The sequence below is a fragment of the Homo sapiens genome, chromosome 12 (assembly GCF_000001405.40).
Source record: "Homo sapiens chromosome 12, GRCh38.p14 Primary Assembly".
In the NCBI taxonomy this organism is placed as follows: Eukaryota; Metazoa; Chordata; class Mammalia; order Primates; family Hominidae; genus Homo; species Homo sapiens.
In genome coordinates, this window is record NC_000012.12 from 102395604 (window position 1) to 102414775 (window position 19172).

General features: G+C 38.5%; 1 protein-coding gene and 1 long non-coding RNA gene across 7 annotated transcripts in view; one reads left to right on the forward strand and one right to left on the reverse strand.

Annotated features, from left to right (window-relative positions):
• Positions 1-19172, forward strand: part of LINC02456 (long intergenic non-protein coding RNA 2456) — a 432422-nt gene that overhangs the window by 116030 nt on the left and 297220 nt on the right. The window contains exons 7-9 of the long non-coding RNA XR_007063427.1: positions 8510-8628; positions 11885-12018; positions 12729-18469. This is a non-coding gene — a long non-coding RNA (long intergenic non-protein coding RNA 2456). The remainder of the gene's footprint in view (positions 1-8509; positions 8629-11884; positions 12019-12728; positions 18470-19172) is intronic.
• The window catches only part of IGF1 (insulin like growth factor 1), an 85966-nt gene continuing 67064 nt past the window's right edge, over positions 271-19172 (reverse strand). For all 6 annotated transcript variants that reach the window (XM_017019263.3, XM_017019262.3, NM_001414007.1 and 3 more), the window contains one exon: positions 271-6963. In XM_017019263.3, coding sequence (XP_016874752.1) covers positions 6904-6963 — 60 coding nt within the window. In that variant the 3' untranslated portion in view covers positions 271-6903. The remainder of the gene's footprint in view (positions 6964-19172) is intronic.

Consider the following 19172-nt stretch of genomic DNA (forward strand, 5'->3'; position numbering starts at 1 on the left):
GGATTTTACGTACAACTGCTTTATTGTTAATGCATATATTGTACAATTCATACATCTCTTACATAGCTTTTGCAAGTCCTTTGAAACATATTTACTTTTAAATAGAATCTGTAAATTCTATGAGATGTCTTCATTTTTGTGTGTGATTAGTTTTGTTTTTCTGGGTATGTTTTCATGTTTATTTATTGCAATGACCTTAATAAAAATGGTATATAACAGTAGAATTCTTAAGGAATGACACATTACACCAACATTATCCAAAAGAACTAATTAATCAAACATGACTAATTTTAATGTAATTACTAAAGAAAGATATACCATTTTATTATGACACTCTAGCCATACATTTTCAAAATATGCTTATTAAACAGTAAATGTAAGATAATGATTCAATTAGTTACATTTTTAGAAGTCATTAGGATTGATATTCCTCTGCCATAAGTGAATTGAATAATAATTTCAAATACAATCAGAATTAATTTAATAAAAAATATGCTTTTCAACTAAGACAGATGTAACGAATGGCCAGTCATTATTTTCTGGTTTCAAAGTAGCAGGGGAAATTAATTCAGTGTCTGTAAGTTTATTTATCACACTTGGCCTATAAGTGTGATAAAAATACATGAGGCAAAATACATGATGTAATCCCAATTCTCATAGTTCATTAACTCTTTTACCAAAAAGATCTGACATGGTATTTGGGGCCTTTATGTAAACTGAATATAAGCTGCGTGATATTTGAAAGGTTTTGATATTTTGAATAGACATTTTCATGATACACAGACACAGATAAAAGATGTAAGTAGACAGCTTGAGGTTTCAGAGTCCCTCCTGCAGTGTGTTTAGCAGCGGGTACAAGATAAATATCCAAACAAAATCAGATTAAGGGATTAACAGAAGTGACTTTGCTATGAGTTGGTGAGTGGGGTCAATGGGTGGCTTGAAAGGGATTTTAGAGCTCTGTTTTTATTTTTCCTACTTTACATCAGTGCATTTTGGGCAAAATAAAATGAGTAATGTTTACTTTTAGGCCTCAGTAATATAAAAAAAGGCAGATTCTAAGGATTGTGGAAGGTCATGTTTTTGAAAGTGAAAGGTAATTCAGCTCCGGTTATTAGGAGAAACTCTGTCTCCATCTTAACTCATATTTCAGTTGAGCAGTAACATTTGGTTTTGTGTCCTCTCTTTTTTTTTTTTTACTTTAAAAAAGCTTGGATTTTTTTCCCCTTGAAAGACCCCATCAAAGATAGTTGAAGAATGAGGAGAGAAGGATCATGTTTAAGATCCATGTAATCATACATTAAGAGGGAACACATGGGCAGGGTGTGGTGGCTCATGCCTGTAATCCCAGCAATTTGGGAGGCTGAGGCGGGCAAATCACAAGGTCAGGAGTTTGAGACCAACCTGGCCAACATGGTAAAACCCCGTCTCTATTAAAAATCCAAAAAATTAGCCGGGCATAGTGGTGGGTGCCTGTAATCCCAGCTACTCAGGAGGCTGAGGCAGGAGAATCGCTTAAACCCAGGAGGTGGAGGTTGCAGTGAGCCGAGATCATGCCACTGCACTCCAGCCTGGGGGACAGTGCGAGACCCCATCTCACAAAAAGGAAAAAAAAAAAGAGGGAACACGTGAAATATATGTTTTCAGTGAGGTTCCTTTAATTCTAGAGTTTCAGCTTGGTCAGCCCTCTATAAAATTCTGAGGCAGATACTAAAATAATAAGGGCTGGGTTGGGATGGGGGCAGAATAAAGACAGCTTCAAAAATCCCCTGGGCCTCTGTCTTATCTGTGAGAGGTTTCTTTAAAAAACAAAAGCATTGTTCCAGATAGGAATTGGTTATTTAAATTGATATCTTTATCCTGTACCATATGCACTTAAAGCTTCTGACAGTCTTCTCTCTTTTTTAAATAGAAATTACACAAAAAAGATATCTATGTATCACTTTCTAATACCTAACAGGAAGGTCTTATAAAATATTAAAATAGCAATAAGCAAATATGTACTACAGGATTAAACACTAGCATTGAAAACAAAACAAAATCCAAAACCAAGAATCAACAACATTTTCCTTTTGTTGTTGCCCCCCTACCAGATCTGGACTTTATGGTCTTTGCAAGGGAGGGGCATAAACTTTCACAATTCTTCTGTTTTAAAATAAATGATGCCATTGCATAAATCAGATTTATCTTTTGAAAATATTGGTGGAAAGCCATGTGATTTGAATGGAAAGATTCTTTCTTCTGAGGAGAGCCAAACAGGTTCTGCTCTAATAAATTAGCACAATCTTTTAAGATTAAAAATAGCAAAACATTTTAAATAGTCTGATTATAGCTTCAACAAGTCAAACATACATTTCTATCTAGCCTATAGTTTTAAAGAGTCTATGTGGGTTTAACTTATTATTCCTCATTCTGATATAAAAAAAGAAGAAAAGAACCAAGTCATTTTGAACATTAAGAAATTCATAAAGACTGTATAAAGTAAAAAAAAAAAAAAAACAAAAACAAGAAACAAAAAATCTTCACAGATTGTTAGCCATCTCTTTCAACAATTTCTCATAAATTCTTTCTTTATCAGTAGATAACCCCCATCTCATAAGGAAATACTTTCCAACATTTCCCAAATGAGATCAGTGATTGCTTTTCATGAGAGCTACTGCTCTTTGAGATGTCTGGGTGAAGGGAGAATGTCTTCTATAAACCAGTAAATGCCAAAGAATACCCAAGGGGGATTTGGCAGAAGCTATTTTTTGCAGGTAAATCTATGTATTTTTTCTCTTTGTTCTTATTTTCTCCACTTGCTGAATATCTGTTTTAGAGCAGAGTGCACAAAAATCAATAAGGAACTTACTTATCTTTTAAATTCTTCTATTTGCCTATAAGATCTTTTTTCCCGCGTTTATTCTCCATGCTCTTGATCAAGTTCAGAAGATTGGATAATATATTGCTAATTTTGCTAAGTTTGAGAGCCAACAAAACAATGGAGCCTTCTAACTTTAAAAAATTTCCAACTCCTGCCCCTGCACCCCCAAATTCACAATTTGGTGAACAGTACACTACTTGTGAGTGATAAAAAGTTGAAAGGTGGTGGTGGCTAGATAGACCTAATGCTATTTTATTAAGCCATCTATCTATAGAATTGTTGTTTTTATACTTTAAAAAAATATGTCTATGCTTTCTTTTTTTTCTTTTTTTCTTTTTTTTTTAGTCAAGTACTTTCTTAAAGAAACAATAGCACCACATTGGCATAGCTGGCCAAACAATAAATGGGAAAGCAAAATGTGCTACATCTTTTATTCTAAGCCTTCTCCCAAGTGCATAAAATAGTAACAGAAACCCTGGAGCCACAGAGCATGAGATGGTTTCATCTACACAAACATTGACGTTCCAAGGAGAGGAAGGATTCTCAAGGGTGGACAGGCTTTTTGTTTGTTTGTTTGTTTTTTAATAAAATTTTCAAGGAAGTGATTTCTTTTCAGTATTCCATTGGATCCTTAGGGTGAATGTGTGTGTGTGTGTGTGTGTGTGTGTGTGTGTGTGTGTCTGTGTATGTAGGGTGGGTGTTAAGAGATTTTCATATCCCTAGAAGAGTGGATTCTGATGGAGAGCTGCATTAACTTTTTCAGGGGAACTGCCTCATCTTAAAAAGTTCAAATAATACTTTAATATTATTTGGGGAAGAGAGAACAGAAATTTGACCTAAGTATCCAGTATGGTCAATTAAATTGGAAATAAGCCTATGAGTTGAAAGCTCATTCTTACCAATGTTTACTGTTCTTTTACAAATATCTTGAAATTGCCTCATTCAAGAATTATAAAGCAATCTAATTCTGAAGCAAAGCTTGTAAAGTTTTGGGTTGTGACATTTTGGTTGCTCCTTTCTATGAAATCTGAGTCATTCTGCTGTAGTATATAGTAATCAACTGACTTCCAGGGTTTGCATCAATTTGTTTTCTAGTTTTAATTCATTAAAAAATAAAATAGTGAATTGGTATAATGAGTTATTTTCAATTTATTTATAATCCAGTTGGAGAGGATTATGTGTTGGAAAAAGTTAAGAAAGATAATATGGCAGTGCATCTTTCAGCTTTCCTCCTTGGGGGATTTTTGACTGTGGATAGAATTAAGTGAAGGAAATAAGTCATAGACACTCTTAGAATTATCACATCTAACTATGACAGAAAACACGTTAAGTCTGCAGAAGACTGCCTATAAAGTTTTGTTGAGAGGGAATAATTTTAAAAGGTACACACTGGGGACAAGAAATAAAAAGAAGTGCCATCTTGGGAAGAGGAGTCCAGTATCTTATTCCACAGAACCTGTATGTCTGGAAAACAGGCAGAGGGCAAAAATGATGTATAGTTTCTTTTACATCTGTCCATAGTGATTAGAACATTGCTAAGCATGCTTGAGGTGCTCAATTCAAATAATGTTGGACTGAGAGTTAAAATACTTGTTGACTGAACAGGATTGCTGGCTCCACTAAATGGGGCCTTCTTTTTGCATATATTCAGAGATCCAGGGAGTCTTTTTTTTTTTTTTCCTGGCCTCTGATCCTTGAGGTGACCCAGTGGGAGAAAAACTGAAGATGTTATTTTTGTTTTTCATATAGACTTTCCAAGAATGTAAAATATAGAATTTGCATGAAATAATCAAGCCTGGGTACTTTTAACCAAAAAGTTCTAAGGTGACTAGAAAGATCTGAATGCTGGATAATTCATTGTTCTAATGAGAAAATCTTGATCTGCAGATAGGGATCATTTTCTAGGCTATGATGGACTAGTACACTAACCAGTGGACTTTCTTGATACCAATTTTCAGTTGAATGGATAAAACACATTCACAGAGAGCTAGGGGCTACCCTTCTGAGCAGGCATGGGAAATTTCTTGTTGTGATGGAAGTTTTTGCCTTTCAACTGGAAACTCTAGTCAAGCATATTTTAACAAACTTTTAAAAAAATGTATATACAGCTAAGAATAAGAGTAAAGTTTGTTAAAGAAGATAACTTTGTGACTTTTTATTAGATATTATTTTAATATTTCAAATTTTGGATCACTTTCCTTATATTGCCTAGAAAAGAAGGAATCATTGTGTTTTTCAAAATGAATAGAATATTATTTATAGTATTAAACGAGGTTTTACTAGATATGTAGTAACTGCATAGAAGAGTCAGTGAGTGCTAACAAAGAGTAATTAATTCCCCTTTCACTGGTAGAAATCTCTTTGTTTTTCTCCTTTTTCTTTTCCTTTCTCTCTTTTCACTTATCTTTGTATTCATAAAACCAAATGCAGAATTCAAAATCAAATTGAAAATCAAATGCTTCCCACATATTTTGAAAAGTGTTTTAAGAGATTGAGCTGTTAGCTTTTAACAACTAGTTGGCCAGTTATTTGGATAGCTTCACTGACAAGAACTGAGATGTCAGGAGCATTCAATTCACCAATCTCTAGCTATGCTATGAATGGGTTATTTATAGAATTCCTTGCATCTCAGCAACTCAAGCGCCCTGATGTTGCACCCTTACAGCAACCCAGGGTAAAAAAAATCTGAATCTTTATCTTTTTAAACCTTATACCACCCCTTTGAGGTAGGTAGATGACATATTGCCCCCATTTTGCAGATGAGGAAACTGAGGCACAGAGAGGTGAAGTGACTTGCCCAAGGTCACACAGTGGTGAGTCCATGACACAGCTGGCAGATGTTCATTTCTTCCATGAGAAAAAGAAACCAGGACTGCTAAAATTCCTAGCCTTCTGCTTTTTCCATTCCACAGTTTCCTCTCTGGACTCGCCAGTCCAATTTGCATCAGTGGACTTTTGTGTCTGAAGTTCCTCTTGGAAGGCATAACTGGGGGGACTTTGCCTTCTTTCCCAAATGGATGGTGTTTTCAGTACCCTTCCCCTTGTGTCATCTTTGGCTCCAGGCTTCCCCTATTGTTTTGCTTTCACGTATTACCGTTTTGGCCAGACTCTTTCATATAACAAACTACAAAATAGCACCATTATACTAAAAAACAGAGTTTTACATACTGTTTGATATATCCTGTATAATTGATATGCTAAATTTACATAGTGCTCTATATGGAAAAAATAAAAAGAGGAAAGTTACTAATTAGGTTGCACATTAACTCATCATTTGAAGGAACTCTTTTGAGTTGAAGAAACTTTCTATGTTTAAAACATATGCCTAAAAATGATTGGCCTCAAAGTTGCAACTATTTGCATTATTCTTTTTTGTAAGCATGATGTGGAAAAATAAAGCTTTGTGTCTAAAATAAAATGCATCCAACTTATATTTGGTACAAATGCCACAGATGGAATCTTGTGGGTTAGAATTGGTGTGCTTCTTGACGACTTGCTGCTGCTTTTGAGGAGGCCAAATTCGGCAAATATAAAGGTTATGAAGGGAGGTGGTGGGTATAGACTAACAAGATTATCAGACACTGTAAAACAAACAGCCCGAGTTGTGTAGAAAGAAGTGCAAATAAGGAAACAATTCATAAACCACTTAGACAAGGTTGCTGAATGAATGGCTCCAGCAGCCAAGATTCAGAGAGGAATTTAGTGCAACTGGATCTATACAACACCCATGCATTTGTGGCTCTTGAGAGGCAGGGACTAAGATATATATATATATATATTTTTTTTTTCTTTTCTATAGAACATTATTGATAAAAGATCAACAGCAATCTACCAACTCCAGGACCATTTTTGCAAGGTGCAAATCACTCCTAAAGACAATGTTGGAATGTTTACTTGTGTATTTCATTGGGGGAAACGCCCATCTTTTAAATGTTATCAAACTTATTTTTTGGTAGGTGTTCCAAAGTTTAACAGGTAACTCGTGCAGAGCAAAGGATCCTGCGGTGGCATGTCACTCTTCACTCCTCAGGAGGGTCTTCCTACATCCTGTAGTTCTTGTTTCCTGCACTCCCTCTACTTGCGTTCTTCAAATGTACTTCCTATAAATAAAGGAGAAAAAGTGACATTAACTTGATGAAGTTTTATGTATCCATCTATTTCTAACATTGGGCCTCAACCTTCCATGTCTTACGCCTTACCAGTTGAGCTAATAGAGAGCTTGAACCTTGGTTTTCCTGAGAAGGGCATGTATAGGTGGACAGGCCCTTAGTACTTTTGCCAAACCTCACTCAGGCATCTTCTATGTACCCCTGGTGGCGTGAATACCACAGACAGCTTTATAATCACACAAAGATGAGATTTGATTCATCTGCTTCTATCACAGATTCATTGATTGAAAGGAGATCCTGAAAAATCCAGCCTTCTGGCCTCTAGATCCTTTCCTAGTAAGAAAAAAAATCAATCACATTCTGGATTCATCCTCTGTTGTTTTATTGCAGTTTGTTCTGTTTTAATTTTTGTAAAAAAGAGACATTTATTTTTCATTGTTTTTCTTGTTTTCCTCTAGAGCAAGGCAGAGTTTCAGAAATCGAAGATTAGGAAATCTTATAATTAATTTTGAGTCTGTAAAATCATAGACATACTGGGCTGAGCTCAACTCGTAGCTTTTCTATTTTCTGGCTGTGTAAACTTGTATGAGTGGCAATCTCTTGTGTTTCCGTTTCTTCATCTATAAACTAGGGTAACAATAATATCTACCTTATAGGATCAAAGATTAAATAATTAATATATATAAAAGTACTTACAATAGACCTGGCACATGGTAAGCACTACATAAGTATTAGCCACTATTATCATTATTAAATCATTTTTCTCTTCTTAGTATTGTCATCTTTATTGGAAAGTAACCATGCCAAGACTAAAAGTCCTGGGTTCCTAATTTGGTGTTAACATTCACTCATCAACAAGCAATGATGTTATCTTAAGGATAGTGAGGGTTTTTTTTTTTTGGACAGGGTCTCACTCTGTTGCCCAGGCTGGAGTGTGGTGGTGCCATCTCAGGTCACTGCAACCTCTGCCTCCCAGGCTTACACAATCCTCCTGCCTCAGCCTCCTAAGTAGCTGGGACCACAGGCGCATGCCACCATGCCTTGACAATTTTTTTTTTTTTTTTTTTTTTTTTTTTGTAGAGACGGGGTTTTGCTATATTGCCCAGGCTGGTCTTCAACTAGTGGGCTCAGGTGATCTGCCTGGCCTTGGTCTCCCAAAGTGCTGGCATTCCAGGCATGAGCCACTGCACCCGGCCTGGATATTGAGTTTTGCTTAGAATAGAAGCCCTGTGAGACCAGAGATGTATCTGTCTGTTTACTGTTATAGTCCCAGTGTCTAGAGCAGTGTGCAGGTTATTGCAGGTGCTCAATAAATATCTGTAAAATGAGTGAAATGAATGAATGAGTATGAGGGACCCCCTTGTGATGTGCAGAACTAAGTCATTATATTATAATACTTTTCCTACAGTTATTACTTTATCCTTGAATGTATTTAAATTGCAAAGTATGTAGACAGGAGTTTTGAAATAAAATCAAGGAGGAACTGGCATTTATATGCATAAACCTGAGGTACTTCTTTTTTTGGTTTTATCTCTAGCCAGAGAGCCCTCTACAGAAGGATGTAATGGATAATTATTGGTATACAGTGAGGTTCATAACCAAAAACAAAAGTTCTCTCCATGAGACCTGGAATCTGTAAACTGTCTTCTGGCTAAGGTAATGAACACCCACACAGTTACAATATTGTGAGGAGCTAAAGCACATTTGAGATTACACAGACCTGAGACCTGGAGAAGGTGAGAGGTTTTAATATGAAGGCTGGGGAAAAAGATAAACTGCCACCCCTTGGGAATAATACCTATTGGCCAAGGCCCATAGGGATCGGCAGGTTTTCTTACACATGTTTTCCGGTTCTACTTGGAACATGAGAGTTATCACCAAGTCCTTCATGAAAGGTAGCTAGTGTTTTATGAGTCGATGGTCAACATCTTGTACTGACTGAGTAGAAGGAAGATGGCATCATTGTGTAAAAACATTCACTAAAATAGCTCAGTGACCACTGCAAAAAGGAAAAAAAGATGGTAGAAAGAAACTGGGCATTTGTATAGAATAACTTGAAATGCCATTTGTTTTAAATTCTGGCACTTTCCCTCAAATATCACAAAAGACCACTTAAGATACATTTGTTGTGGTGCAAAGCATCTACTGCTAAGTTCCCAGTAAACTTGTGTTTTGTTTTTTTTTGTTGTTTTTTTTTTTTGAGATGGAGTCTCGCTCTGTCACCCAGGCTGGAGTGCAGTGGCGCGTTCTCAGCTCACTGCAACCTCTGCCTCCCGGGTTCAAGTGATTCTCCTGCCTCAGCCTCTGTAGTAGCTGGGATTACAGACGCCTGCCACCATGCATGGCTAATTTTTGTACTTTTTAGTAGAGATGGGGTTTCACCATATTGGCCAGGTTGGTCTCGAACTTCTGACCTTGTGATCCACCCGCCTTGGCCTCCCAAAGTGCTGGTATTACAGGCGTAAGCTAAATGTGTGTTCTTAATCTTCCATTGGGTTCTGCTTTCTTTCTTTCTTTCTTTCTTTTTTTTGAGTTGGAGTCTCACTCTGTCACCCAGGCTGGAGTGCAGTGGTGTGATCTAGGCTCACTGCAACCTTTGCCTCCCAGTTCAAGTGATTCTCCTGCCTCAGCCTCCCAAGTAGCTGGGATTACAGGCACGCGCCATCATGCCCAGCTAATTTTTTGTATTTTTAATAGAGATAGGGTTTCACCATGTTGGCCAGGCTGGTCTTGAACTCCTGACCTCAGGTGATCTGCCTGCCTCAGCCTCCTGAAGTGCTGGGATTACAGGCATGAGCCATCATGCCTGGCCGTGTTCTGCTTTCTTATAGGAGTTCTCTAGAAAAATGAGAGAAGGACACATGGGGCCACAGAATAGCATCCCTAATGTTCCCAAACTCCTTGAAATGTTTTTGTTCAATTCTCAATCAACACTGTTGATGGTCTGTAGCTGATCAAACCCGCAAAATAGATATTATTAAGGATGCCATCTCTCTGCCTAACTACTAACCAAATTAATTAACAGGCGGAGAAACACACTAATTTGAATTTTACCTTTTGTTTTTCTGTTTAAGAGGCATACCAGCTCAAAATAAGAAGTTCTTTAAACATCTGCAATGCCCAAACTAAGAAAATATTCAGGAATGAAATGGGAACAAATTAAAAGAAAGCCTCATAAAGCGTTTAATCTCCATTCTTCCTCTCAAGCCAAATTAATCCCAAATTTCTACAAGAAAACATTAAGATACCATCTATGCTTCACTCTTTAAATTAGCGGGGGGCTATAGCAAAAAGAATTGAGGTTAGATTGACCAACCACATACATCCTATTTTTTGTCTCCAATAGAGAGATTCTTTTTCTTTTCTCTCAAAGCACAAGGTATAAAGTGTAAAGTCTGAGCGGAGGGATTCCCTGGTCTGTTTCTTCTGGGTCTGTCTCAGCATCACAGCAAAGCCATGGGCTGAAACTCACTTGAGTGAAGCAGATGCTGTACCAAGTAGCATGATTCCCATGCACACACGTGCACGGTGGAGGCCATTCAAACCAGCTGGGATATCGTCTGGTTTGCATTTGGCTCTCTTCCCAGGCTGTCACATGTGACTTCTTTGTTGCAGACAATGACAGTGACAAAACAAAAGCACTCAGGGACTAGGTCTCAGTTGCATCTGTTGCTTTGCTCATTGTCTTAACTTAATTACGCCAGCCACCCTTGACAATGGGCGGCAAGTGGAGGCATGTTAGAAGCAGCCGTCATCAGAGCTGGCACCCACCTTTGGTGCACTTCTTGAAGAGTTATGAAACTGTCTCACATTCAGTCAAGCAAAAACTTTTCACTTCAGCAGCTTGTCCAATACAAACAAACCAGCTGAAACTGTTTCTAGTATGCAACTAGACAGATTTTTAAAAGGAAAACAGTAGTGAGTAAATACTGTTTCCTATTGACACCAACGAAGGTAAGACTATTAAGAAAACATTGATCCTCCAGCTCACTGGGGTTGGTTAAAGAAGTTTACCCTTTAGAAGGAAAGGTTAACAAACACATTAGGAAATAAGTTTGTGGAGGGTTTGATTTGTGATATATATGATTACCCATTATGGACAGACACGCATATTTAGGGTGCTAGAAAAGGCCCTGAAGAGGCCATTCACCTTCTCCCATTATCTCTTGGTTCTTATCCAAGCTCCAAGCTTTCCTTTGGAAAGCTATCCACAGACTTTTCAATTAAGATTACTGTGCCAGGTGTGGTGGCTCACACCTGTAATCCCAGCACTTTGGGAGGCCGAGGTGGGCAGATCACTTGAGGTCAGGAGCTGGAGACCAGCCTGGCCAACATGGTGAAACCCCGTCTCTACTAAAAATACAAAAAATTAGCCTGGTGTGGTGGCGTGTGCCTGTAGTTTCAGCTACTCAGGAGGCTGAGGCAGGAAAATTGCTTGAACCCAGGAGGCGGAGGTTGCAGTGAGCTGAGATTGTGCCACTGCATTCCAGCCTTGGCGACAGAGTAAAACTCTGTCTCCAAAAAAAAAAAAAAAAAAAAAAAAAAAAAAAAAAAAAAAAGATCACTGAGGACTAATAACAACGGCAATAATAATAATCTTGCTTAACATTTGCAAAGGCTTTACAGTTTACAAAATAATATCACTGAATCCTTACAATCACCACATGAGGTGATGCGGTGTTATTCCTGTCAGTCCCACGTACAAGCTGAAGCTCGCTAACATTTAGTAATGTGCTTGAGGTCACAGAGGAACAAACTGATAGACAAAGGGCTAAAATAATAACAGTTCCCATTACTTGAACATTTGTCATGTGCTGGGGATTGTAGTATGTATGTAAATTGCATATATTTTCTTGTTTCCTATACTTCTCTCAGGGATAAGTACTACTGTCTTGACTGTTTTATCTTTAAGGAATCTGAAACTTAGGATAAACAACTTGCCTAATTTCTTATGATGGAGATGTAATAGTGGTTGGAATTTGGACCTATTCCTTCTGATTCTGGAGCTCACCAGTTAACCACTCTGCTAAACTGCCTCCCCAAGAGGTAAAAAATATCTAGTGCTTTCAAGTCCAAATCACTTTCCAATAGCAATAGTTGATAATATCATGAGCTGCCCATGCTTCCAGATGGGGGTAGATGCTAGTTTGGAGGGAAAGGCTGTGCCATGGGACAGAAGACTCAATGAGGAGGGTGAGTATTACCACAAGCTGGGACCCATTTGTAATGGTATTTATAGAAGTCTAGGAGCACAGTATTCAATTAGCAAAAGCAAACTCCCTAGGTATTATAACCCCCTTTTTTTCCTCCCCACTTATCTTTATGAGATTTTGCCTGAGAGATAGAATCTAAAAGGATAAAAATAGGCTCTTTAAACTTCAGGGAGGAAGCAGTGATGTTTTCAATAGACTATGTTTCCATCTCCACCCACTCCAAACAAGTTAAGTATTGTATGACATGAAGTCTAGGAAAAGCCTGGCACTCTATAAAAAATACTGGGAAAATTCTGTCCAGCATGGAATATCAGCAGCTTATTGTACAGCATAAAGTACTAACTCAGCATTGACCTGCTCCCAAAAAGGGCAAAATGAGAAGAAAAGAGCAGTGGATGATTGGAAAGAGGGCTCAGATATCAGCCCTTTACCTGTTGAAAGGGATGTGCTATAGCAATTTTGCTGGCTTGGCCTGGGGACATGTGAAATGGTGGAGGATGATTTAGATGTCTCAGTATCAACTTTGATATCTCTTTACTTCAGGGAATCACAAGTTCAAATTCCAGGAGAGTTGGATCAGCCTTTCCTCTCTGGCAGCCAGGCAAAGCGAGGGTCATGCGATCTACTCAGCACTTTGGGATGTGACTTCAAAACCAAAGAACAAGGTGCACATTTTGAGAAACGTGTACTCCTTGTTTATGTGGCTGCTTCTTTAACAGAGTGAGGGATATGTACTTACTGGACACAGTTTTGGTTAGCCCAGCATCACGTTTTTTTCTGGAAACCTCACCCCACTTTTTATGTGGTTGTAGGAATTCCCCCACCCCCTGCCAGTACAACGGCTCTTCTTTGGCTCTAGTGGATTGGAACAGGGCAGGCCCCTCCCAAGAGCCAGTGACCAAGTATGGTGGGGACATTGAGGCAGACCTATTTCTGAGAAACACAGAAATTTGTTGGGCAACTGTATTGCCCAACTTTGGCTCAAAAACTCCATGATGACTTTGCTGAACTTTCCTTAGACCATAGACCCACCAAAAATGTTTCCAACCAATCTACTCTCTCTCTCTCCTTCCCTTGGGGTTAGGCTTGCCTTGCAATCTGATGGCTTTGCCTATCCTCCCCTATTTCTGTTCACACATTAATTCCCCCTAATAAAACCCCTGCTCATTTAACACCTTCTCATCTTCTGTTTCTTGGAGGACCTCATCTTATGCATCTGGTTTAAATCCTAGCTCTCCCACACAGTAGTCGTGTGACCTTTGATAATCACTACATTGTGCTGTCCTCAATTTCCTCTTCTGTAAAATGAAAGTGTGGGGTAAGAGCACCTACATCACAGTGGTGTTATAATTGGATGTAATAACCCTCAGTCATTTACCTGGCATGCGGTATAGTTGTATGCAGGAGAGTCTACTGTTTAGAAAAACCTTGAACCTAATTGTTAGCACCATCAGTCTGTTCTGGCTTGTGTGCTGTAAGAGCCCTCTCTGGGTCTACATTTGCTCAAGCATTGATGTTCTGTAGAGTAAATTCTGCATGTTTGTCTCTCCACTAAAACATAAGTTCCTTGAGAGCAGGTAGCATATTTCCTTCACTTCTATATCCTCTCCAGATCCAAGCAAAGTGTTTGAGCAAAGTGGCAAACCAGGAAATGCTCATTTAATGGATGCGAATTTCCTGCAGGAATGATGGAATGGAGTTCAGGTCAACAGCAAATATTGCATGGCTGCTTACTTTCTTCCTGTGGTATTCTCTACAAGGACAAATAGCACAGAACCCCCTGCCATCTCATACAAGTGACAGATTGTATATGGTAAATATCAACTAAGAAATGCAGGAGAGAGTGCAGTGCTTGATTAGCACACTGTGGTCTATCTATCTCGGGTTTGGATTCTGCTTGACCGCTTGTTAGCCCAAGACGTTGGCAAGACACTTAGCCATACTCAGCCTGAGTTTTCCTGTCTATACAATAGTGATAATTGTGGTACTCACTCTGCAAGCTTCATGTGAAGATTAAATGAGGTGATTCCCTATAGCTCTTGCCACAGGGCAAGTACCTAATCAATATCAGCTATTATGATTCTTTTTAATTTACTTTTTAATTGTTACTATTGTCAAAGCAGTTTGCATGCTAGAGTGCTGCCCTTTCTCTGGCTGAATGTGGGGAAACAGTAGCTAGCTCCTTGGTTTCCGGAGCTCCGTTGAGTGCTGGGAGAGTGGACTTACAGCTCTGTTTTCTAGTGACTGGGGCATCCCTAGGAATCCCCAGGAATCAGAGGACTTTATTCCAAGATTATCTTGACTTAGCAACTTTCTTACTCTTTTAAAGACTACCACCTGACTCTATTTCAAATATTTCTGCCTGTGATGTAAAAAATCTCTATCAAAATGGTTTAAAAGCCTGGGGAACAAAGAAAAAAAAATGCCAAGGGTAGTTTCCCTTGCTGACAAGAGGTGTTTATGTTGCCTTTAATAGTCATGAAGGATGTTGTAAAATACTTCAGGATCAGGGCTCCCCAGACTGTTGATTTTATGGGCAGCTTGTTTGCTTAGCTGTTTGTTTGTGTTACATTTTTAAATTTAAAAAATGTTTAAGCTTATTATCTTTCGCAGAGGGAGTTGATTTTGGAATTGCTGAAAGGTTCAAATGTGGTATTTTAAAAAGTGAAACACCAGATTCTAGCAATTTTGCTGCTATGTGCTAAAGATTCAGCACATTAGTACCTAAAAACTGGATTTGATTATTCTTTTTCTCTTAAGCCTCCAAAATGCCATTGTTTCATCTGACATACAATTTATGCTAGAGTTACTTAAACTGGTGTATGCAGTAACTCCTATTGCAGTGTTCTTGGGAGATGTGAGGCCTAGGGTTTTTACCTTTTGGTGTCATTTCAATGCAATAGTGATGAGTTCACAGGGTTAGGAGGAAAGGGTGTTGCCCTCTTTCACTCATTCCTTGTGTGTGTGACAAATCTGGGCAGAACATTCAAATGCTGTGTTCTGAATTTTCCTCCTCACTGAATTGAGAGAAATTTTGGAAGTTTGGAAGGCTCTCTTGAACTTTTAGGATGAACAAAATAACACTATGAGAAGTTAAATTGATTTGCCTCTGTTTGAGGTTGATGGGGGCCTTCAGCATATAAAAGTAAACATGCAGAATGCCAGCCAGTGCTATTCCAAGGCAGAGAATGGCTCAAGAACATTTTATGCATGCATACAGTTTTAAAAAAATCAGAATTGTGGCATTGTGCCAAAAGCACCTCTACCTTCATCCTAGTGTTCTTTTGAAGAAGAAAACATATTATTATTTATAAAGAGACAAATCAGAGCATTCAATAGTGACCTAGGTAAAACAATACTGACAAAATAACAGTAATTATACTATGCATTTATTGATTCATTCATATTTTTCATTCCTTCTAGTCTTCCAGTGCCTCACAAGCTAGTCAAGCATGCCACATACTTACACCATGACATAAACATTGCACATCCCCAACTCTACAATTGTCGGCTGATTGAGAACCTTACTCAACCGTCAACCTGCCATGGTCTTGCTCCTAATTATTTGGAACTTTTGTCTTGCCATAATTGTGAACTAAAGCCGTGAAAATAGCACATATTTTCACAGATGGCAGGGCTAGTTGGTCCTTGATTACTTGACCTCTTGGTGCTGGCTAGACAGAAAGCCCCAAGTGAATGTTTATACATTGTACCCAGAATTTTGTAGAAACTTTAGCCATGGATCCCAGCTTGGAAGCTTGGACCATTTGGCCGGTTTGGGTTTGATGTAAAATTTCTTGGTCTTTCACTGGGAACTTTCGAGTTATTTTATGAGACAAGAGCTGCCATCATACTCAGCTTTTCATAAATCTTGCTCTTAACATCTTATCTTCATATGGGCATTTTGACCATGTCAGTTAGAGAAGCCCAGGAGGACAAGGTAACCCATTGTCATCTTTTTTCCGGAGTGATCATAACAGATGCCTACTCAAATAAATGAATGTTCCTTTATCTGACCCAATGGGCATGAAAGCATATGAGAAACTGAATAGAGGAAGTTAGAGGCTAATGGTTAAGAAATGGGAAAGTGGTAGAAGAGGCATTTGATGGGTTTTGCCTGTAATCCCAGTCCCTAATAGAAGTAAGGGCAGGGGATGATAGAAGGAAGATTGGCTGGATGCATTGACCTTTGGTTGTAATGGGTCAATAATTAGACCTAGAAATTTCTAAAATTGCAAATTGGTTCTATAGGAAAGTTACTGCAGTCTATAGACAGGGACCTAGAGAATCCTTCTCTGTATGTTAGATGGGAAATGGTAGAAGTCCCTGGATCCTCAAAAGATACAATAAAAAGAAAACCAACTTATTTCCACCCCTCCAATAATGTCCTCTCTATTTCCTGAATAATTTTTAATTTAGGATGAGAAACAGGCTTTTGAGAAGACAAAGGAATCCTGCAGTTTTTACTGAATGATGGTTAGTTTTTACAGAGGAATTTACCTTCACTGAAAGACAATCCAAGAAACTGTTCTCACCTATAATTTTGGAAAATAGTTCCCCCCAGCTCTGTAATGGGTGCAACAATGCTAGAACACAAAGGTGCACACACACACACGCGCACACACACACACGAAGGAAGGGGAGAAACTAATCCCCTTCCCCTCAAAACTGTTTGGTGTAGTTTATTACAGATTCTAAATTGCTGCCAAGGACATTTAGAATTAAAATCAGCTTGATGCACCTTTAGCATTCTTATTTCTAACCATCATACTTCCACTTTTTAAAAAGTTAGCTTCTTGACCAATGGTTCTTAAAACTATAATCATATTAGTTAAAAAAATAAAGATGGGAATTTCCAAAATGTTTTCTAGCTCCTGTTACTCATCTAACAATAGGCAATGAAAGTTATAATTGAGTTCCTGGTATGATAAGAACTTTCTTAGGGGCTCTCTGGAAGAATCAGACATGGACTCATAAACCTCTTTTCCCATAGCTCTCATCATTTCCCTATTGTTCTCAATCTCCATTTCTCTCTTCTGGAATTTAAACATACGTTTATATTTTTAAATCATTTCTTTTGGACACTGGATGAAAATGGGATGGCACTAAAGGCATTAAGGAGTCCCATTAAAAAAGGACCTCCAAATATGTGGGCATCAGGGAAAAGTTCTGATTCCAGTTAGGCCTTTAGGGATGACAGAAAAGCTGATTTTCACCTTGCAGGTCTGGAAGTTTTGTGGACCTGGAGAATTTTTGCTAACCTCAGCTACTCCCTCTTTAAAAATTGACCTGTCTTGCTTAGGCCAAAGGAATCAGTAACTGGGCTTTAAGTATTGAGGTGAGCATACAAACTGGATATTTCAAAACTCATAAAAAGGGATTTGGATTCTGCTTCATCTAAAACTATTAATCTTTTCATTGCTCCTGAAGGCTTCCCCTTTAACTAGAGACTATCAATGTTGCCCTTGGATTAAAAGTCAACTCTGTGTTATCTAGTGAATATTGCAAAAAAGCACTATTCTTTTCCTATGGGCAAATAAAAAGAATAGATCTCATCTTGCCCAGTGGATGTTAATGGACTTGAGAAATTGCAGAATTTATTACCTAAGAAAACAATGTTTCCCTTTAGTGGGAGGGAGGTCGTCAAGGGATGGAGGCGAGAGAAGGGGAATTGCTCTTTGGGAGCTCATTTCTTTGCCTCCTTTTCCACCCTTACATTCGAACAGTGCACACATTAGAAGCTGTGTGAGGTTTTGTTTGTTTTCAAGAGATGTTTGAAAAAAGATCAAATGCTTGTGAAAGGCACTGGATTGGCAGCCCAAGAAACTAAAGTGTCCCGGAAGCTGTGTGAGCCCAGAAATATCCTGCATTTCTATTTATTTTGGCAATTTTACTTAAGACTACCAATAACTGGAGTTCATACTACAATTAAATTTTCCCCAGGCACCATGAAATGAAAGCACGTATTACACTTAATTTTAACTGGTTGAGAAAAATGGTGGTTTTCTGAAAGTTCATTATATGACCCGGAAACAGAAGCAATGGCTCTCACTTGGGAGAGCCAAGCTACCTATTTAAGTTGGAATTATTCATAGAACCAGGGGTTCTCTGGGTTGGAATGGTTCTTAGGTCATTGAGTTCTCTTATCCTACCACATGCTTGAAACTCTACTACCACATCATGGAAAAGCGTTGGCAAGCTTGGGCTTGAAGTTTTTGGTGACACAAGACTGGCTTCTACTTCAGGAGACCAACTTCTTTTTCACATAGCTCCAATTTTCAGAGGTAAGTAAAATAATGTTAACTAAAACTTGAATAATGCTTACTAAGTGCTAGATACCATTTTAAGTGCTGTAATATGTGTCTCTGAATATACACCTCCCACTCCTTGCACAGACACACACATGCACACACTACACTCACACACATACACACACACAATCTCAATAAACCCTCACAACAACTGAATAAGGTAGATTCAGTTGTTGCCCCTATTTAACAGATGAGGAAACTGAGGCACACATAAGTTACATGATCTGCCCAAAGCCACAATGCAAGTAAGAGCCAAGATTTGAACCCAGGTAGTCTGAATCTACATTTTGTACTCTTAATGACTGTATTTTACTATTTATTTATTATTTAATTTTTTTTTGAGACAGAGTCTCACTCTGTCACCCAAGCTGGGATGCAGCGGCAGGATCTCGGCTCGCTGCAACCTCTGCCTCCCAGGTTCAAGGAATTCTCATGCCTCAGCCTCCTGAGTAGCTGGGATTACAGGTGCGTGCCACCATGCCCAGGTAATTTTTTTGTATTTTTAGTAGAGATGGGGTTTCGCTATGTTGCCCAGGCTGGTCTTGAACTCCTGAGCTCAGGCAATCTGCCCGCCTTGGCCTCCCAAAGTGCTAGGATTACAGGCATGAGCCACTGTGCCCAGCCTTAAGGACTATATTTTAGCCTCTCCAATGCTTATAACTCTTGTTCATGCCTA